We start from the raw sequence: 19,058 nt of genomic DNA, 5'->3' as shown, positions 1-19,058 counted from the left end.
TTTCCTGAGCTTTCTGGAAGGCAAATTTCCTGTATCATGCACACATACAAAATAAGGAAATCAGAAACTTGGCAGCCCCCAAGAACTTCCAGACAATTTAAGATACTTGGTTTTCTACAGCATGTGGTAGGGGTGCAGTGGGGTTGGGTGATACTGTCACCAATAACCCCATGAAAGCCTGATGTGCAGCCCATTGTCCTCAGTGACATGTGAGACTGAAACTAAAAGGTGCTCACAGAATGGGTAATAAGCAGGGAGTGCCCACACAGAAACACTGACTACATTCAGTGAATCCCTGACTCCTGACAAGTGTGCTGCAAACCTGCTCACACTTAAGCTTCTACCTTGAAAATAGGGCACTCTCATGGGACAGTTGCAGTGCTTCCCTAAATGACTTAGACTTCCCTGAACTTCATAAGGCATCAAAATTGCTACAATTTTCCAAATATCATCTTTCTCCTCAAAGATATGGTTTTTGACAATAAATCCTAGCTTTTTATTCAATCGAAATTTAGTGAATACACACTGAGTGCCAGGCATGCTACTAGGCACCAGGAATACAAAAATACATAAATAAAACAAGGCCCCAGCATATACCCTGGTATGTCTGAGGTGTAGGGCAAAAGCACTGGCCATGGATCAAACTGGCTTTGTGTCTCAGCTTTCCTACTCATTAGAAATGGTGCCTTGAATACCCTGAATAATTCCCATGGTCTTGAGCCTCAGCTTTCTAAACTGAGGAAAACAAAAAGCCAGAGGTAGTTGTGTCTGCTTCATATGTGATGACTGAATACAAACATTTGTGAAAGCAACTAGCTATATATTTCTAGGCTGCACCATGTTGTGACTTCATGAAGGGAAAGGAAGGGATCATCCCTAACCTCATCAAAGAAGTCTGGTGGAAAGCAGCCCTGAAAGGAAAGAACCTGAGGATAAGGATACGTAAAGCTGACATGAGGCCATACTCCCCCTCCCCGTCTACTCACTATTGCTGGGTCCCTGCCTGGGCTGTTTTCTGTCATTAGGCTGAGCACAGTGGTTCATACCTGGAATCCCGGCACTTTGGGAGGCTGAGGTGGGAGGATCACTTGAGCCCAGGAGTTCAAGACCAGCCTGGGCAACATAGCGAGACTTCATCTCTACAAAAAATTTTAAAAATTATCTGGGCGTGGTGGCATGCACCCGTAGTCCCAGCTACATGTGAGCCTGAGACAAGAAGATTGCTTGAGCCTGGGAGGTCTATGCTACAGTGAGCCATGATCATGTCACTGCACTCTGGCCTGGGCAACAGAGCAAAACCCTGTCTCAAAAAAAAAAAAAAAAGTGGTTTGCAGCCCCAAACTTCCTGCTTAGATAAGTCTTGCTTCACAGAACCTGCAATGGAGACAGGAATGCCTCTCTGAGGAAGAGAAACAGGGAAGGTATAGCATAGTAGCATAGGGTGCTATCTTGAAGTAATGCAGATTTTTCAACCAAGAGCTCATTTTTAAATCAGAACCTGGAAGAATGAGATGATTTATATAGCAGATGATTAATCTCTGTCTTCAAGCAATCAGCAGAATAAGTCAGTGAAACATCTCATATATTCTCCTTTCTGATTTTCCCACAAACAAGACCATCTCAAATTTGAAATCAACATTTTACAATCCATTTACTATATATTTTGTTGCTTTTGTTGTTAATGCTAGAAGCATGCCCTGTTTTTTTGGAAGAGTGTTTATGCAAGGGTTGGCCATATTCATAAACATTCATAGTGTTTATCTACGTAGGGTTGGCTTTGGAATTGTGGAAATTATCCACACTGTAGACACCATCTGAATGACTACAGCAAGAGGACCAGTTTTTCCAGCCAGCCACTTTAGTCCCTCCCAGTTCTACTAGCCTGCAAGAGAGTAGCCTTGTAGGAACTATCTCTGCAACCTGAGAACTTGAGAACTAAATGCTCGGTTGACTCTGAAGCCCGACTCAGTACTTTGTTATCCAGTGCTCTCTCTTTTACACGAATAATCAACTGAAATAAATGAAGTAGCTTTGACATAATGTGAAAAGCCTGGCAAAGGAGAGTGAACTGAGAATTCGGCAATGCCTGAAATCAGAACTAATCATCTCAAAATCATCTTAAAATATATTTTAAGTGGCTCAGGCTACATTCTGGTACATTGTACATGATTCTTTATGTAACACATTTTTCTTTCATGGTTTGTTTCAAGAACCATGACCTAACTCAGAGATTTCCTGTCTTTCCTTGACATCACAGTGCTATATGAAGTTGACACTGTCAGCAAAGAGTAACTTAGGATACATCTGTTGAATGTATCATCTTATTTCCAAAAGAAGTTTTACTGTCTGTGAGAGTCATGATCTCTTTTTTTATCTCAAATGAAAAGGCAATTGATGTTTAAAGTGATATGGATAAGTGGTATAAGCTTAAAATTTGCTTCTGTTAACATTTTAAAGTGTTTTCAAAATGAAATTTTTTTTTTAACTTTAAAAAGAAAGACTGCTGTTGAAACCCTGTCTCTACTAAAAATACAAAAATTAGCTGGGTGTGGTGGCACACACCTGTAGTCCCAGCTACTTGGGAGGCTGAGACAGGAGAATCACTTGAACCTGGGAAGTGGAGGTTGCAGTGAGCCAAGATCACGCCACTGCACTCCAGCCTGGTGACAGAGCGAGACTCCGTCTCAGAAAAAAAGAAAGACTGCTTTATATCAAAGATCCTCAGGTCTGTTTAATTACGTATATTTTTATGTTTTCAACCACATTCTGAATAAGAAATTGTGGCTACATGCAGAAGTAGAACCAGATTTAAGGTAGTACATTTGAAGCTTTACTATTTGGAGGGGCTCTCTCTAGGAAAAAAAGAATTTACAAATACAAAATTAGATATGAAAGTGAATACTTATTTAAAACGAGACAATTCAAGACAAAGTGTAAATTTTAAACAGTTGTTACATACTGACTGCTTCGGCTATCTACTGCTGTACAATGAATCACCCAAAACTTAGTGACTCAAAACAACAATAATTTTATTATCATCACCCACAGGTCTGGGGCGTTGCTTGAACTCAGCTGGGCAGCCCTTGCTCAGGGTTTCTTATGAAGTTGTAATCAGATGGTAACTGCGGCTGGCATCATCTTGCTGCCACTCACGTGTCTGGAGTTGTTGCTGACTGTGGGCTGGGACCTCTGCTGAGGCTGGTGGCTGGAACATTTATATGTGACCACTCCACGTGGTCTTTCCATTTCCTCATGGCATGGTGGCAGGGCCTGAAGAAAATCAGGTGAACACTGTGTCTCCTTTTACAAACCAGCCTTGGCAGTCAGATAGCATCTATATTAATTTCACACTGATGGTCTAGGAAATTACCACAAATTTAGGGATTTAAAACAACAAATGTTTATCATATTACAGTTCTGGAGGTCAGAAGTTCAAAATGGGTCTCACTGGGCTAAAATCAAGGTGTCAGCAGGGCTGCAGTCCTTCTGAAGGCTCTAGAGAGTATTCATTTTCTTGCCTTTTCCACCATCTAGAGGCCACCTGCGTTCCTTGGCTTGTGGCTCTTCCTCCATCTTTAAAGCCGGCATCATGGCATCTCCAGATCTCTCTTGACTCTGACTCTTCTGCCTCCCACTTCCAGCTATAAGGACCTTAGTGATTACATTGGGCCCACCTGAATAGTCCAGTATAGTCTCACCATCTCAACGTCAGCTGGTGCTTGCTTCAGCATCACATATATTAAAATTGTTTTTTTGTTGTTTTTTTTGTGTGTGGGGGGGGTTGTTTGTTGTTTGTTTGTTTGTTTTGAGATGGAGTCTTACTCTGTCACCCAGGCTGGAGTGCAGTGGCACGATCTCGGCTCACTGCAACCTCTGCCTCCTGGGTTCAAGGGATTCTCCTGCCTCAGCCTCCCAAGTAGCTGGGATTATAGGTGTGCACCACCACGCCCAGCTAATTTTTGTATTTTTGGCAGAGACAGGGTTTTGCCCTCTTGGCCAGGCTGGTCTTGAACTCCTGACTTCAGGTGATCTGCCCGCTTCAGCCTCCCAAAGTACTGAGATTACAGGCGTGAGCCACCACGCCTGGCCACATATATTAAAATTGGAATGTTACAGAGAAGATTAGCATGGCCCCCATGCAAGGATGACAGGCAAATTTATGAAGTGTTCCGTATTTTTAAGAAAAAGAAAAGTTTGGGCATGGTGGCTCATGTCTGTAATCCCTGCACTTTGGGAGGCCGAGATGGGAGGATTGCCTGAGCCCAGGGCTTCTAGACCAGCCTGGGCAACATGGCAAGACGTTTTCTCTACAAAAATTTTAAAAATTAGCCAAGCATGGTGGCATGCACTTGTAGTCTCAGCTTGGGAGGCTGAGGTGGGAGTATCACTTGAGTCCAGGTCAAGGTTGCAGTGAGCCATGTTCACACCACTGCACTCTAGGCTGGGTGACAGAGAAAGACCCTGTCTCAAAAAAAAAGAAAAGAAAAGAAAAGAAAAGAAAAAAAAGGTCAGCAGATTTGCAACCTTAATTCCATCTTGCTATATTACATAACATATTCACAGCTGGTGAGGAATAGGATGTGGACATTTTTGAGGGACCTTTATTCTGTCAACTACAACATCCTTTCAGCCACAGTCACATCTACTCAGGTTCAAAGACAGGGAACGTAGATTCCACTTCTCAATGAGGGATGTGTCAATCACCTTATAACAAGAGCATGTGGGATAGGAGATACTGTGATGACTGTCTCTGGAAAATAGTCTTTTACATTCACAAACATAAAAAATCTGGAAAATCCCATAATATTTTTTATTAATAAACTGCCTGACATATGGCTGTACAACTTTTTACCAATATTTTTGGCTGTATACTCTCTGATCACCTCTTCATATGATAATAATATATTAATATAATTTTCTGAAGAGAACTTTTTTTAAATTTAGTTTTTCCTTTAATATGGCTAATCAAATTTTGTTTTTAAAAAATTGTTGCTGTTTTAAAATGTTTATTTCAGTTTTATAATTCATTATTAATACCATAGTATATGTTATGGTTGATATTAGATTTGGGAAAATCTTTACCAAGTTTTTTTCTGCGTACAAGCTATAAAAAATCCAGGATACCAGTGAAAACGGATAGACTAATTATTTAGCTTCTCATCTGTTTCTTCATTGCAGAAGCATATTTTGAGGTTTATGTCATCTTTGTCAATGTCAGTATTTTGTATCAAATCAGCAAGAAATTTCTATATTTTGTAGGATTTTATGATTCCTTCCTCTTAATAGAGTATCAAACAATCCAAGACTTATCCATTACTTCTAAAAATTTCTCTTTTCCCTGTAAGGAAGCACTGGTTTTAGAATGATCTGGAAAAAGTGTTATACATAGTTTGCTTCTTCGTATCTGAACAAGAAGCAATGTCATCATGCATTTTTATCACTTTTATTTCATATCCCATTAACTTTTTATGTAAATTTTCTCTTAGTTCTTCAATAAAAGCACTTTTAGATAACAAAACAGAGCACCTTTCTTTTATATCCAAATTAGGTTTTTATAATTCCTCATTGTTTTATTGGAACAATCCAAAATGTGTTTTTAAATTTTAGTTAAATGATATGTTTTCAACTCAACTTCCCCTTAGATCCCCAAAATGCTGGTGGACACTCAAGCACCTCTAAATTCAAGGGAAAATGATACAGTGAAATTTGACATGGAGAAAGATAGCAGCCTTAACTGATTGTAATTAAAATCACTTACTTTCACAAAACTCAAAAAAATATATATGTGAACTGTATCAGTCAGGGTTCTCCAGAGAAACAAAGCCAATAGGATATATATAGATATAGTCATGCACAGCAAAATGATGTTTCAATCAGTAACGCATCACATATACAACAGTGGTTCCATAATATTATAACATTGTATTTTTACTGTAGCTTTTATCTGTTTAGATATGTTTAAATACACAACTATTTACCATTGTGTTAGAGTTATCTACAGTATTTGGCACAGTAACATGCCGCAAAGATTTGTAGCCTAGGAACAGTAGGTTATACCATATAGCTTAGGTGTGTAGTAAGCTATAGTACCAAAATTTGTGTAAGTACACTCTATGAAGTTTACACAATAATAAAATTGCCTAATGACGCATTTCTCAGAACTTATCTTCATCATTAAGCAATGCATGACTGTATATAGAAGGAGATTTATAATGAGGGATTGGCTTATGCAATTATGGAGGCTGAGAAATCCCACAATCTGCTGTCTGCAAGCTGGAGGCCCATGAAACCAGGTGGTGTAGTTCCAGTACAAGGCCCAAAGGCCTGAGAATCCCGGAAACCAATAGTGTTAAGTCCCAGTCCAAGTCCAAAGGCCTGAGAATCAGGAGCACTGATATCCAAGGCAGGAGAAGATGAATGTCCCAGCTCAAACAGCAAGGGCAAATTCACCCTTCTCCTCTGCCGTTTTGTTCTATTCAGGCCTTCAGCATAGTGGATAATGCCCACCCACATTGGTGAGTGTGGTCTTCTTTACTAGTCTACTGATCCAAATGCCCTTCTCTTCTGGAAATGCTTTCACAGATACACCCCAAGATGTGTTTTGCCAGCTACCTGGGCATCCCTTAGTTCAGTCAAGTTGACATAAAATTAACCAACACATGAACACTCTGCTAGGGCCACTCCTGAGAACTTGGAGAGAGTGTGCAAATGAGGGCCCCTGAAGCTAAATTTCATTAGCTTTATAATAATCTACATGTAGTAATCAATAATGAAGTTGTCAAGCACCGTATTCAGTGATTTATATGTCCTGACATAACTTTAATGCCTGTAACACACACAAGTGGTAAGTACCATCACACAGACCCAGAAATAGAGTCCCAGGGAGTTTATGTAACTTGATCCCACAGCTAGACAGTGGTGGAATCAGTGTTCAAACCTAGACAATCTGACTCTAGCATCCACACTCTTAACCACTATTTTACAGTGACATAGTTACTATGTTACATAGATCAAGTTTAACCACTATTTTACAGTGACATAGTTACTATGTTACATAGATCAAGCCTAGTGACTATGTTACACAGATCAAGCCTATATCCGAATTGTTTTATTTTCCTTCTTCTCGAATACCAGGAAGAAGACCTATTTGGCTGTATTTCCTACTAAGTTCACTCAAAATGGCTGCATCAGTAGTTTAGGTTAGTTTAAGCACAGGCAATTTGGATTGGGTGTTTTATTATGAAATTTAATCACTGGTCACCTGCATACGTGTGTGCGTGTGTGTGTGTGTTTCCTTTGTTTTTTGTTTTTCTTCAATAGAAAGCAAATATGCTTTTGAGAAATCTTAGACTTATCTCTGTCAAACTAATCTGAAAAGAAACTGTCCAGACAGATCAGGCCTGCCAGGATCAGCTACCCTTACCCTAGAGTTTTGAATTAACATGTTTCTTAAAAAAAGCCAGCCAGTTGTTTCAACACAGTCCCACCACTCAAATCTCAGGAAAGCCAGCAGGGGAAGAAAAATGAGGCTCCTTCTTTTCTGCCTGGGGGGAGATGTCTAAAGATTTGAGACATCATGTGAGTGTGTCATGTCAGTAGTTTGCAAATGTTTAGGGGCCAGAAAGAAATTGTGCTATGTTCCTATTTCTCCTGATAAGGACTATTTTGCAGACATGTGGGTTCTTTTCTACCTTATGACAAGGAAGTGTTTTTAAAGTCTTTAAAACAGAAGATGGCAATCAGCAAATACTCTGATGACTCTACTATTGTTAGCTCAGCTGCATACCATCATTCTAAGAGGAAGTCAAGGCCCTCTGATAACTCACTGCTAAAACAGCAGGTTTGAGGTTTACAGCCTGTGCTGGATTCTAGGAGGTAGAGATGGTAAGGGGTGGACAAAAAGAGTACATAGAAAATAAACTTTTTTAGAAATGTGCCAGAAGTTACCAATGTATTGTGCTTATTGTGTTGTGCAATGTTTGTTAAGTTTTTATGATGCACATAAATAATATGCTATCTCGAGATCTTGTATTTAAACAGGACAGAAACATATTGACTCATCCTGCGTGAAGATTAGCTTCCAAGAATATTCAGGTTTCTGTAGCCATGTGTCTTACAAATGCAGCATTTTAAAATCTTCATTGCTTCTTTTGTTCAGTTTAATAAAAGTTGTCTGGGCAGCTAATCTATTCCAGGCACAGTGGAGGAAACAGTAGACGCAAAATGGCTATGGTTTAAACCCTACCCTCAGAGAGCTCAGAGCCTAATGGGAGAGAACAGAATTGACAAATCACAATACTGTTATGCAAGTTTTGCAACAATAGCAGTGTGTAGAAAGGATAGCAGCAAAACAGGGAGAGAATAGTTATCTCAGGAGGGAGAGATTTCACTGTGTGACTGTCTTCTCCTTTCAACTCAGAATGTTACATACATTTTTAAGAATGAGCAGCTCTGCACAAGAACAGATTAACAGCATCTAAGCAACTCAAGAGTACATGTGGGTAGAACTTCCACCTTCAGGATGTCCTTTTGACACTGGTGCTTCCGGTATATTTGTGAAACCCATTATCCTAACTAAAACTACTTCAAGTTATACTTTTGACTTATTTAGGCTAAGTGAGATTATTGCCATTTCCCTGTAAGGGTTACTTATTTTACTTTATTTCTTCTTCTTTTTTTTTTTTTTTTTGAAACAGATCTTCGCTCTCGTTGCCCAGGCTGGAGTGCAATGGTGCGATCTCAGCTCACTGCAACCTCCTCCTCCTAGGTTCAAGTGATTCTCTATCCTCAGCCTCCGGAGTAGAGACCAGAAGAATGTACATTACCACAACAGCATTAGTTGTATTGCATTGTTTGGTTACAGGTGATTTTGTTTTTCTTTTTCCACATTTATTTTCCACATATTATTCCACATAGAATAATAAATCCTTGAGTGGTCTATTTTACTTCAGAGTAACTACATCTTTCATACTTTTTTGCTTTTTTGAGATGGAGTCTCGCTCTGTCGCCCAGGCTGGAGTGCAGTGGTGCAATCTCGGCTCACTGCAACCTCCACCTCCCGGGTTCATGCCATTCTCCTGCCTCAGTCTCCCGAGTAGCTGGGACTACAGGCACCCACCACCATGCCTGGCTAATTTTTTTGTATTTTTAGTAGAGACGTGGTTTCACCATGTTAGCCAGGATGGTCTCAATCTCCTGACCTCGTGATGCCCCCGCCTCAGCTTCCCAAAGTGCTAGGATTACCAGGCATGAGCCACTGCTCCTGGCCAGGGTTACTTATTTTAATCATGAAAGTAATAACAGCACATTACAGAAAATGTGGAAAAAGAAAAACAAAATCACCTGTAGCCAAACAATCTAATACAATTGATGTTATTGTAGTAATGTACATTCTTCTGGTCTCTTTTCTGATAGATAGATATATATATAAATATATATATTTATATCTGATATATATATATTTAATTGTATTGTAAAATACACAAACAAGAGAGTATACATATATTCAATGTAAAGACCATCAATAAAGGCTGGGCATGGTAGCTCACACCTGTAATCCCAGTTCTCTGGGAGGCCAAGGAGGGAGGTTCACTTGAGGCCAGGAGTTCAAGACCAGCCTGAACAACATAGAGAGACCTCATCTCTACAAAACTTTCTTTCAATTTGCCGAGCATGGTGGTGCATACCTGTAGTCCTAGCTACTCAGGAGGCTGAGGCAGGAGTTGAAGGCTGTAGTGAGTTATGTTCGAGCCACTGCACTCTGGCCTGGGCAACAAAGCAGGACCCTCTCTCTAAAAATATAAATAAATAAATACCATCAATAAAACAAGTAATTGTGTATCCACTACCCAAGTTAATCAATAGAATATAATCTGAAAGCTCTAGATGCTCTTCCTGGATCACATCCCCTACTCTCTCTCTCTGAAAGTAACCCTAGTACCAAATATTCAGTTAATCATTCCCTTCCTTTTAAAAATAGATTATCTGTATCCCTAAATAATGTATTGTTTAGTTTTTAAAAATTTATATAAGTGAAATCACACTGAGTATATTTTTCTGTGACTTTTTTTTCCAACTTTGTGTTTGAACTTCATCCATGTTTGCCTATAGCCATAGCAAATTTTATTGCCATATAATTCCATTGTATAAAAATACTATAATCTGGCCAGTTGTGATGACTCATGCCCATAATCCCAGCCCTTTGGAAGTCTGAGGCAGGAGGATCACTTGGGGCCAGGAGTTCAAGACCAGCCTAGGCAAAATAGTGAGACCTCCCCATCTCTAGAAAAATTTGTTTATAATATTCTATATGTTTCACTGGTAACATTTTATTTATATTCTTAATTTCTTTTTTTAAATAGCTCACATTTATTTTAATGTTTAATATTAGAAGTGTTTGAGATCTTTATTTAGAAGTTTGGTGATTTCTTGTGACAAGAAATATGCTGTAGAAGCTTAACTCTTTTTTATATCAATTAGCCTATGGTAAAATTCTTTTTGTTATACATCATTTCCCTTAAAGTTGAAGTTTCCAAGAATCTATCAATGACATTAAATAAGAACTTATTATATAGCTAAAATATAACATTAAAATAGAAAAAAGAAAATACATTCCATGTAATTTTAATCAGTTAACTACACAACTTCTAGAGTGGGTAAAATATGACGTTTTTGTGTGTGTGTGTCTTTTTTTAAATTTGTATAAATGTATGGGATACAAGTGTAATTTTGTTACATGCATAGATTGTATAATGGTGAAATCAGGGCTTTTGGGGTATCCATCACCTGAGTAATAGACATTGTACCCATAAAAAGTAATTTCTCATTATTCACCCCCTCCCACCCACTCCCCCTCTCCAGTTATGTTGTTAATTTCATTAAACAAAAATGAAGGGTCTGGACCCTGTAAAGCCTGAATAATCTGGATAATTATGAAATCTACATTTCATTTTGTACTATACAGACTTTAACTTCACAATAAATACACATATCCCAGACCTCGGCTGTCTAATAGTTAAAAGATCTTGAAACCTGGAATCAGCACACTTGGCTTTTTGTACTGGCCCTGACATCTGCTAGCTGAGTGACCCCTGAAAGCCCCCTCTCCCGCATTCGTAAAAATAAGATTATAACTACTGACTATCTCACAAGACTGTCTGGGAAGATTAAGTGAAAGAATGTATGTAAACACAATTAGTAAACCATAAAATACTAAGCAAATGTAAATTATTATCTTGGGTTCAAATTTCAGCTTTACTACTTTATCTCTATATGACTTATATGGCAAGCTACTTAGTTTTTCAAAGCCCGTTTCCTTACCTGAAAAATGGCAGTTTTATAAAGATTAAATGAGACAATATATAGACAGAGAGCTTAAGTGCCACATAGTTTGTGGCACATAAGGCCTTACACATAAGGCCTTGGTAAGTGTAACTAGTATTTCTTATTGTCACTTATCTTCTTACCCATATGAAAGAAAACATTGCTTTAAGTTGTTCTTCCAATAATTTAACAGTTTATTCCAAACTATTCACATGATCAATAACCCGTGCTTAGAAGAGACCTGAATTGGATAGCGTACAAGCTACAGCAAAGGAGCAGAGCTTTTCTCTGTACAGAGCTAACTGGCCAATATGAAAACTAAACCTTGTCCTTATTAGGTAATTGGATGAACCAACCTGGACACAAACTGTATAAACAAATTTTGCATACCAAGAATGTTGTTGCCAAGCCCAAGGATCAGCATCAATAAAATCTGATGAATACTACATTCATAAAACGTTTGGATAAGAATTAACATTGCCTGTTTATTTCTTACAAGGACATTTCAGTAACGACCTATTTCTTTCTCTTTGCTTTTGTTTTTATATCGCCCTGTCCTTGCAAATCTGAACTCTGTGCCCATTTCTACAACAGATGGCTTTGGCTGTTGCCACCCAGCCGTCTTTTCCTTTTTTGTTCTGAGAAGTGAACAAAGTGGGTCACCATGGAGGAAAGCTGCGTGCTACCCCTCACGGGCTTAATTTGATTCCCTACAGCCCTTGAGGTCAGAAATCCCCAAGCTGTTTATGACCCAAATTCAGATCTGCAATGTGCCCAGGAAACCTGACAGCTGTGTGGGCAATTCTGGCTCCAAATTATGCTAACCTTCCTGTGATTCCATTTAAGACAAAATGAAACAAAACAAAATGAAAACCTCAGGTGATACTCAATTGAAAAGTATAATTTTTTTGGTGAATGATGGTATGTAGCATATTGAGCAACAATAATGTAAACCAAGCAGTTATTGTTTTATTTCTTTATAAGTGTAGAGTGCCGTATGTTCTCAGAAGCCACTGAACTATGGTAACTTCTGATCTTATCCCAACCAGTTGCACAAGTACTGGGAATCAAACACCTGTTTATTTGTTAATGCAACTGAAGGAACTTGATCATTAGGTTTTAATGACTCTAAAATATGTACTGAAATTCTATTTCAGAACAAACTGCATTTTCTTTCATATACAGGTTTGTTGTGATAATCGATTTCTTATTTATAAGAAACAGTATGATTCGGATACTTTGCCTTACTGGGTTTTCTTTCTTTTTCTTTCTTTCTTTCTTTTTTTTTTTTTTCTGGAGATGGAGTTTCACTCTGTCACCCAGGCTAGAGTGCAGTGCCATGGTCTCAGCTCACTGCAACCTCTACCTCCTGGGTTCAAGCAATTCTCCTACCTCAGCCTCCCTAGTAACTGGGAATACAGGCATCCACCACCATGCCCAGCTAATTTTTTTGTATTTTTAGTAGAGATAGGGTTTCCCCTTGTTGCCCAGGCTGGTCTCAAACTCCTGACCTCAGGTGATCTGTCCACCTTAGCCTCCCAAAGTGCTGGGATTACAGGCGTAAGCTACTGTGCCTGGCCTACTTTGCCTTAGTGTTAATAATTCATTGTTTTTATTCTCAGAAAACAATGTAAACTCTGTATGAATACTATCAGTCAATTTCTGAGTTTCAGGAATTGCATGTGGTGTCAATAAATGACTTAGCATTCTTTCAGGGTGCAAGGCAATCAATTAAATGCATTACATTGCATTGTATCCTAGTATAGGACATATAATATTAGCATACACACTATATGTTAATTATGGATTCCAACCACTCCAACTTTCCCTGGGAAGAGTATTTTCCCCACTGCCCAAAGGTAGCTAGGCACAGGGCCAGTGTCCAAATGCAGCTGATGCTCTCTTGGTTATATATCAGCTGTTACTGTACCATTTCTGGAAGAGTTTTCTAAAACAGCGCAAGAATATTGGTGAGGAGAAAAACATTCACTTCACTTAATGAGCAACTATTGTGTGGCAGGCACCAGAATGGGCGCTTCAAAAAAACAACAACAAAAAAAGATACTGCCCCTTTCCATTCTAGTCAAAAGGCAAGCACATAAGTAGGTCATTCAAGTAAAACATAGTAAACGCTATGACAGAGCTAAGCACAGGGCCATGGGAATATAGAGGAAGAGCTAGAACAATCTTTCCTCAATTTCAGACTCACTAATCCAACAGCCTGCTAGATGTCATTAACTTTTCAATGCGTTAAATGTAGAACTCAGAAACCACGCCATCCAAATAACTGTAGCAGATGCTGTAGGTGCCCTATTGTTTCTCTCTGGCCTCCAGAGTCTATTCCTCCTATGTGTGAGAACAGCCCTCAGCCAGTAACTGAGTGGGTGGACACATAAGGCAGCTCTCTCCTTACTCAGGTGAGATAACTCAGAGGCAGGAGAATTCTCTTGTATGTTCTGCAGTGGTCCCATTGAATCTTTACCCATTGAGGACCATTATGGTAAAAATAGGTCAAGTGGAAGCCCCTGGAAATTCCTGCCCTTACCAGTGTTGGAAACCACAAGTGATACCTTATCCCTGATGGAACTTCAGAGATTAGCTTCACCATTAAAGATGTGACAAAAAGCAAGGGTAGTGATACCTCTCACATCCCCATTCAATTCACCTGTTCAGCCTATACAGAGCTTGGAGGGATCCTGGAGAATAACCACATGTTATCAAAAACTTAATTAGGTGACTCCAACTGCAGTTAATATTTAGATGTCGTCTCATTTCTGGAACAAATCAAGAGCTGCTGGCACTTAGTATGCCATTATTGACTTGCAAATATTTCTATTTCCATACTAGTTTGCAAGGACCACCAGAAGCAGTTTGTTTTTACCTGAAGTAGCCTAAGAACTATGTCAACTCTCCTGTGTTCTGCCATAATATAATCTGCAGAGATTATTATAATCTTGACAGTCCACATAAAATCACACTAGTCCACTGCATTGATACCATTATGTTGATTGGATCTGATCAGGACCTGAACAGGAAGCGGCAACTATTTCAGATGATTTAATAAGACCCATGTAAACTAGAGAATAGGAAATAAACCCCCATGAAAATTCAGAAGCCCATTACCTAAGTGAAATTCCTGGGGTTACATGGTATGGAACATCTCAAAATATTGCCACCAAAGTGAAAGATAAGTTGCTGCACCTTGCACAGTCCCCACTAAAGAAATTTAGTGGGATATTTAGTGTCCCCACTAGAATAGACATGTGTTCTGGATATGAATTTGCTTACCTTGTTTGTGGTGTTAGGTAGACCCATTTGGATTTTAGAGGTAATATAGCCTACATTCAAGTGAGCTACTTCAATTCCCATTTACAAGTAATCTTATTAAATCAATAAAGCCGCCAGTTCTGAGGGGGACCAGAACAAGTATAGACTGAAGTGTAAATTGCTCTTCTTTATAACCCAGTAGATGCAATGACACTTGGCATGTCTGTGGCAAGTAGGATGCTGTATGAAGTCTCTGCCAAACAACAACTGGAGAATCAACATGTAGAACTCAGGGTTTTGAAGCCAATCTATGACTCTTCTCAAGATAACCATTCTCCTTTCTAGAAACAGCTCTAGCTCGATCCTGGTACTGAATGCCTTACATGTAACCTGAGTTTTCCATTATGAATTGCGTGCCCTTCCTAGCCATAAAAGTTGGCTGCATAAAGTTGAGTGTGCACAGAAGCAATCTACCACCAAGTAGAAATAGTATAAAAGAGATTGACCTCACACACATCCAGAAGACCCAACTAAGTTACCTAAGTAGATGGCTTTACTCCTTCAACATCAACTATTGGCCCTTCTCCTTCAATCCATGCCCGTGGCCTCATTAGAGAGTTTCTTATTACCAGTTGAATGGGAGAAAGTTCAGGCTGTATTTACAGATGGCAAGACAGTGTTCTGGGGCAAACTGGAGTGGACAGTGCAGTAGCACAGTTCCACTCAGGAGTGTCTCTGGATGGTGGTAACGTAAAATACACGCAAGCCCAGAACTTCAAAAAATACACTTGGTTATCCACTTTGTCTAAACTCAGAAACAGCTATAAGTATGGACTACTCTGATTCATGGGCAGTTTCTTAGAGCTTGGCTGGATGTTCAGGGACTTGATAAGAATAGGATTTGAATATTGGTAAGAAGAGACCTGGGAAAGAAGTGTGTGGATACGTCTCTCATAATGAATACAGCATGAAGACACTTATATTTCATGTGAATGCCCTCCAAAGAGCGTCCTCTATATAGGAAGCTCTCAATAATAATGTAGAAAAAGTGTCATATTCTTATATATCACTCAGCTGCTTTCACCAGCCATCATACAGCTCACTGAATGAGCCAATGTGTAAAGTGGTCACAGTGTCAAGATTGGAGGTCATCCACAGGCTTAACAACACAGGCTGACCTGGCTACTGTTACTGATGAGTGCCAACAGAATTGGGATCATCTAAACTGATTATGGCTGGCTAATTCTAAATATATCTATATCTTCTTCTTTTTTTTTTTTTTTTTGAGATGAAGTCTCGCTCTTGTCCCCCAGGCTAGAGTGCAATGGCGCGATCTCAGCTCACTGCAACCTCTGCCTCCTGGGTTCAAGCGATTCTCCTGCCTCAGCCTCCCGAGTAGCTGAGATTACAGATGCCTACCACCACGCCTGGCTAATTTTTGTATTTTTTAGTAGAGACGGGGTTTCACCATGTTGGCCAGGCTGGTCTCGAACTCCTGACCTCAGGTGATCCACCCTCCTCGGCCTCCCAAAGTGTTGGGATTACAGGCATGAGCCACTGCGCCCGGCCTAAATATATATATATTTACACCAGAAAAAAAAAAAAGAAACAAAAGGGAAGAATGTGTATTTTTAGTGGCCTTTTCAGATAATTGTGGAAATGTTTCTTTGACAAATTAAAACTCAAAAAGTAGTAGTTACTTAAAGGTTAATTATAATGTGGAATCTGAAACCATACAGTGAACTTTAATAACTCTGTTACAATGAGATCCACTGGTCTATCTTGCATTGCATTTTGAGTGGCTCTTTTTACTCATGCATTGTTTTACAACATAAGACTTTACAAAGTCATCTGCAATATATTGGTTCACTGAGCTGTACAGATCTTCCAAACGTTGACATACTTCATTAGATAATATAAAAAATTATATCCACTAATATCATCACTGATCTCAACAGCAAAGTGTTAAAAGTATTGACAAACTATCAAGCTCTTAGTGGTGGGTACAAGTTTTCCAAAATTCTGATTTTCACTCAAATTTTAACATTGGCAATAAATACTGTATTATTTCAAGTTTTTTTCCTTGAAGTGACAGGCTCACTTCATTTACTTTTGAGATGATGTCTGCCAAATACTCAAGTCTCAACTGCCAATTTTTCTGCCAGCCATTCTCCCAAATAAAAATAATATTCTGTGAAAGCAGCAGCTAGTTCAGCTTGTGTCTCAAACAATTGCAAAAGTGCTTTTCCTGGTGACAGCTATTCTATGACCGTACGTAGCAGACACGCGTTATGCAGACTTCCTGTTTTTGTTTTTGTTTTTTTTGAGATGGAGTTTTGCTCTTGTTGCCCAGGCTGGAGTGTAGCGGCATGATCTCAGCTCACTGCAACCTCCGCCTCCTGGGTTCAAGCAATTCTCCTGCCTCAGCCTCCTGAGTAGCTGGGATTACAGGCATGCACCACCAAGCCCAGCTAATTTTTTGTATTTTTAGTACAGACGGGGTTTTATCATGTTGGCCAGGCTGGTCTCGAACTCCTGACCTCAGGTGATCCACGCCCCCCCCCAGCCCCCGGCCTCCCCAGACTTTCCATTTTTTTACATAGAATATTTTTAAATATGTAACCAAGGTCGAGATTTATAAAATCAATAATTTTATGACTCCATCATGGATATTGCTTTTTTTTCTTTCTTTCTTTCTACTTAAAAAACAATCTTTTTGCCTTAGGTGAGCAGATCACCTGAGGTCAGGAGTTTGAGACCAGCCTGGCCAACATGGTGAAATCCTGTCTCTATTAAAAATACAAAAATTAGCCAGGCATGGCGGCAGGTGCCTATAATCCCAGCTACTTGGGAGGCTGAGGTGCAATAATCGCTTGAACCTGGGAGTTGGAGGTTGCAGTGAATTGAAATCACACTGCACTCCAGCCTGGGTGACAGAGCAAGACTCTGTCTCAAGAAAAAAAAAAAGTTTTTGCTTTGGCTTACAATTATTTATTTATTTTATTTATTCTTATAGGACCTTTCTTCTGCTTAGAAATCAAGGACATTCTATTTCTGTGTGTGAGACAGACTCTCTCTCTGTTGCCCAGGCTGGAGTGCAGTGGCGTGATCTCAGCTCACTGCAACCTCCACCTCTAGGGTTCAAGCAATTCTCCTGCCTCAGCCTCCCAAGTAGCTGGTATTACCAGCGCATGCCACCACAATCAGCTGATTTTTGTATTTTTAGTAGAGACGGGGTTTTGCCATGTCGGCCAGGCTGGTCTTGAACTCTTTACCTCAGGTGATCTGCCCACTTCGGCCTTCCAAAGTGCTGGGGTTACAGACATTAGTCATGGTGCCTTGCCAAGCACATTCTTAAAACTTTGTTTTTACTGCTACTGCACTAGTGACAAAATACAATGACTTCTAGTATGGTCTGGTGCCACTGCCTTGAGTCGTACTCAGATGCCAGATTTTTTTTTTTTTAAATTTAAGAGACAGGGTCAGTCTCACTGTCTTGCCCAGGCTGGTCCCAAACTACTGGGCTCAAGTGATCCTCCCACCTCGGCCTCCCGAAGTGCTGGGATTACAGGTGTGAGCCGCCATGCCTGGCCAATGCCAGCAATTTTAACCACCATTTCTTTACACCATGAGTACAAAGGTCAATGAAGTTAAATAGTAAAAGATCATATCATCTTAGTATTATAGTAAAAATAATTTTGACCTCACCGACTCCAGAAAGGATCTCCCCAAACTCACATAGACCACTCAAAACTGCTGCACATGACAAATGAAAAAATACCAGGCCACAGTGTTCTTTTGAAAAGTTTGCATGTGAGTCAGGACCACATAAATGTGAAAGATTGGACCTTTCTCTCCTGTTCTAAAAAGAGATTTCCCCAGATCACTATGCTGGATACAAAAAGGAAAATAAAAAAGGAAAGAAAGGGAGAAAGGAGGATTTATTGAATGTTATATTAAACAAGACAGTCATGTCGATGGTCCCTCCTGGGGAGGCAGCACTCAGCTGCCATGATCTATCATGAGACCATATGGACCCTCCATAACACCCACCATCCACATCATCTCCTAGCCATGACTTTAGACTGAAGACATTCAATATAATGGCTCATAGAAACCAGGATATTATGAGGACATTAATGCAAGAGCTCTTCCAAAACAGATATTATCTAGAGAAATCAGACTCTTTCTCTTCAAAGTTTAAAAGAGCAAATATAAAAAAGAACCAGCCAGATGTAGATGACACACAAGCTGAGAGGGGAAAAAACACTTAGAGAAAATGAGGGTAGTCTGAGCTATGACAGGTCATCAGCACACAAAAGTTATAAGATGAAACTATAAGAAGGAGACATGGCTGGGCACAGTAGCTTATGTCTGTAATCCTTAGCAATTTGAGAGGCCAAGACAGGCCAATGGCCTGAGCCCAGAAGTCTTCAAGACCAGCCTGAGAAACATGGAAAAACACTGTC

General features: G+C 39.6%; 1 pseudogene, besides 2 other annotated features; it reads left to right on the top strand.

Moving 5' to 3' along the window:
• Positions 84 to 153: a silencer, noted in NCBI's record as "silent region_15501". NCBI's record gives its function as "represses an Ori minimal core promoter by ATAC-STARR-seq in GM12878 lymphoblastoid cells {active_cell/tissue: GM12878}" and the evidence as "EXISTENCE:reporter gene assay evidence [ECO:0000049][PMID:35858748]".
• Positions 1,864 to 1,913: an enhancer, noted in NCBI's record as "active region_21637". NCBI's record gives its function as "activates an Ori minimal core promoter by ATAC-STARR-seq in GM12878 lymphoblastoid cells {active_cell/tissue: GM12878}" and the evidence as "EXISTENCE:reporter gene assay evidence [ECO:0000049][PMID:35858748]".
• Positions 4,070 to 4,179, top strand: RNU6-1187P (RNA, U6 small nuclear 1187, pseudogene; annotated as a pseudogene).

The sequence above is a fragment of the Homo sapiens genome, chromosome 4 (assembly GCF_000001405.40).
Source record: "Homo sapiens chromosome 4, GRCh38.p14 Primary Assembly".
Classification (NCBI taxonomy): domain Eukaryota; kingdom Metazoa; phylum Chordata; class Mammalia; order Primates; family Hominidae; genus Homo; species Homo sapiens.
Note: the sequence above shows the minus strand (reverse complement) of the source record. Positions and strands in the feature narration are given on the sequence as shown.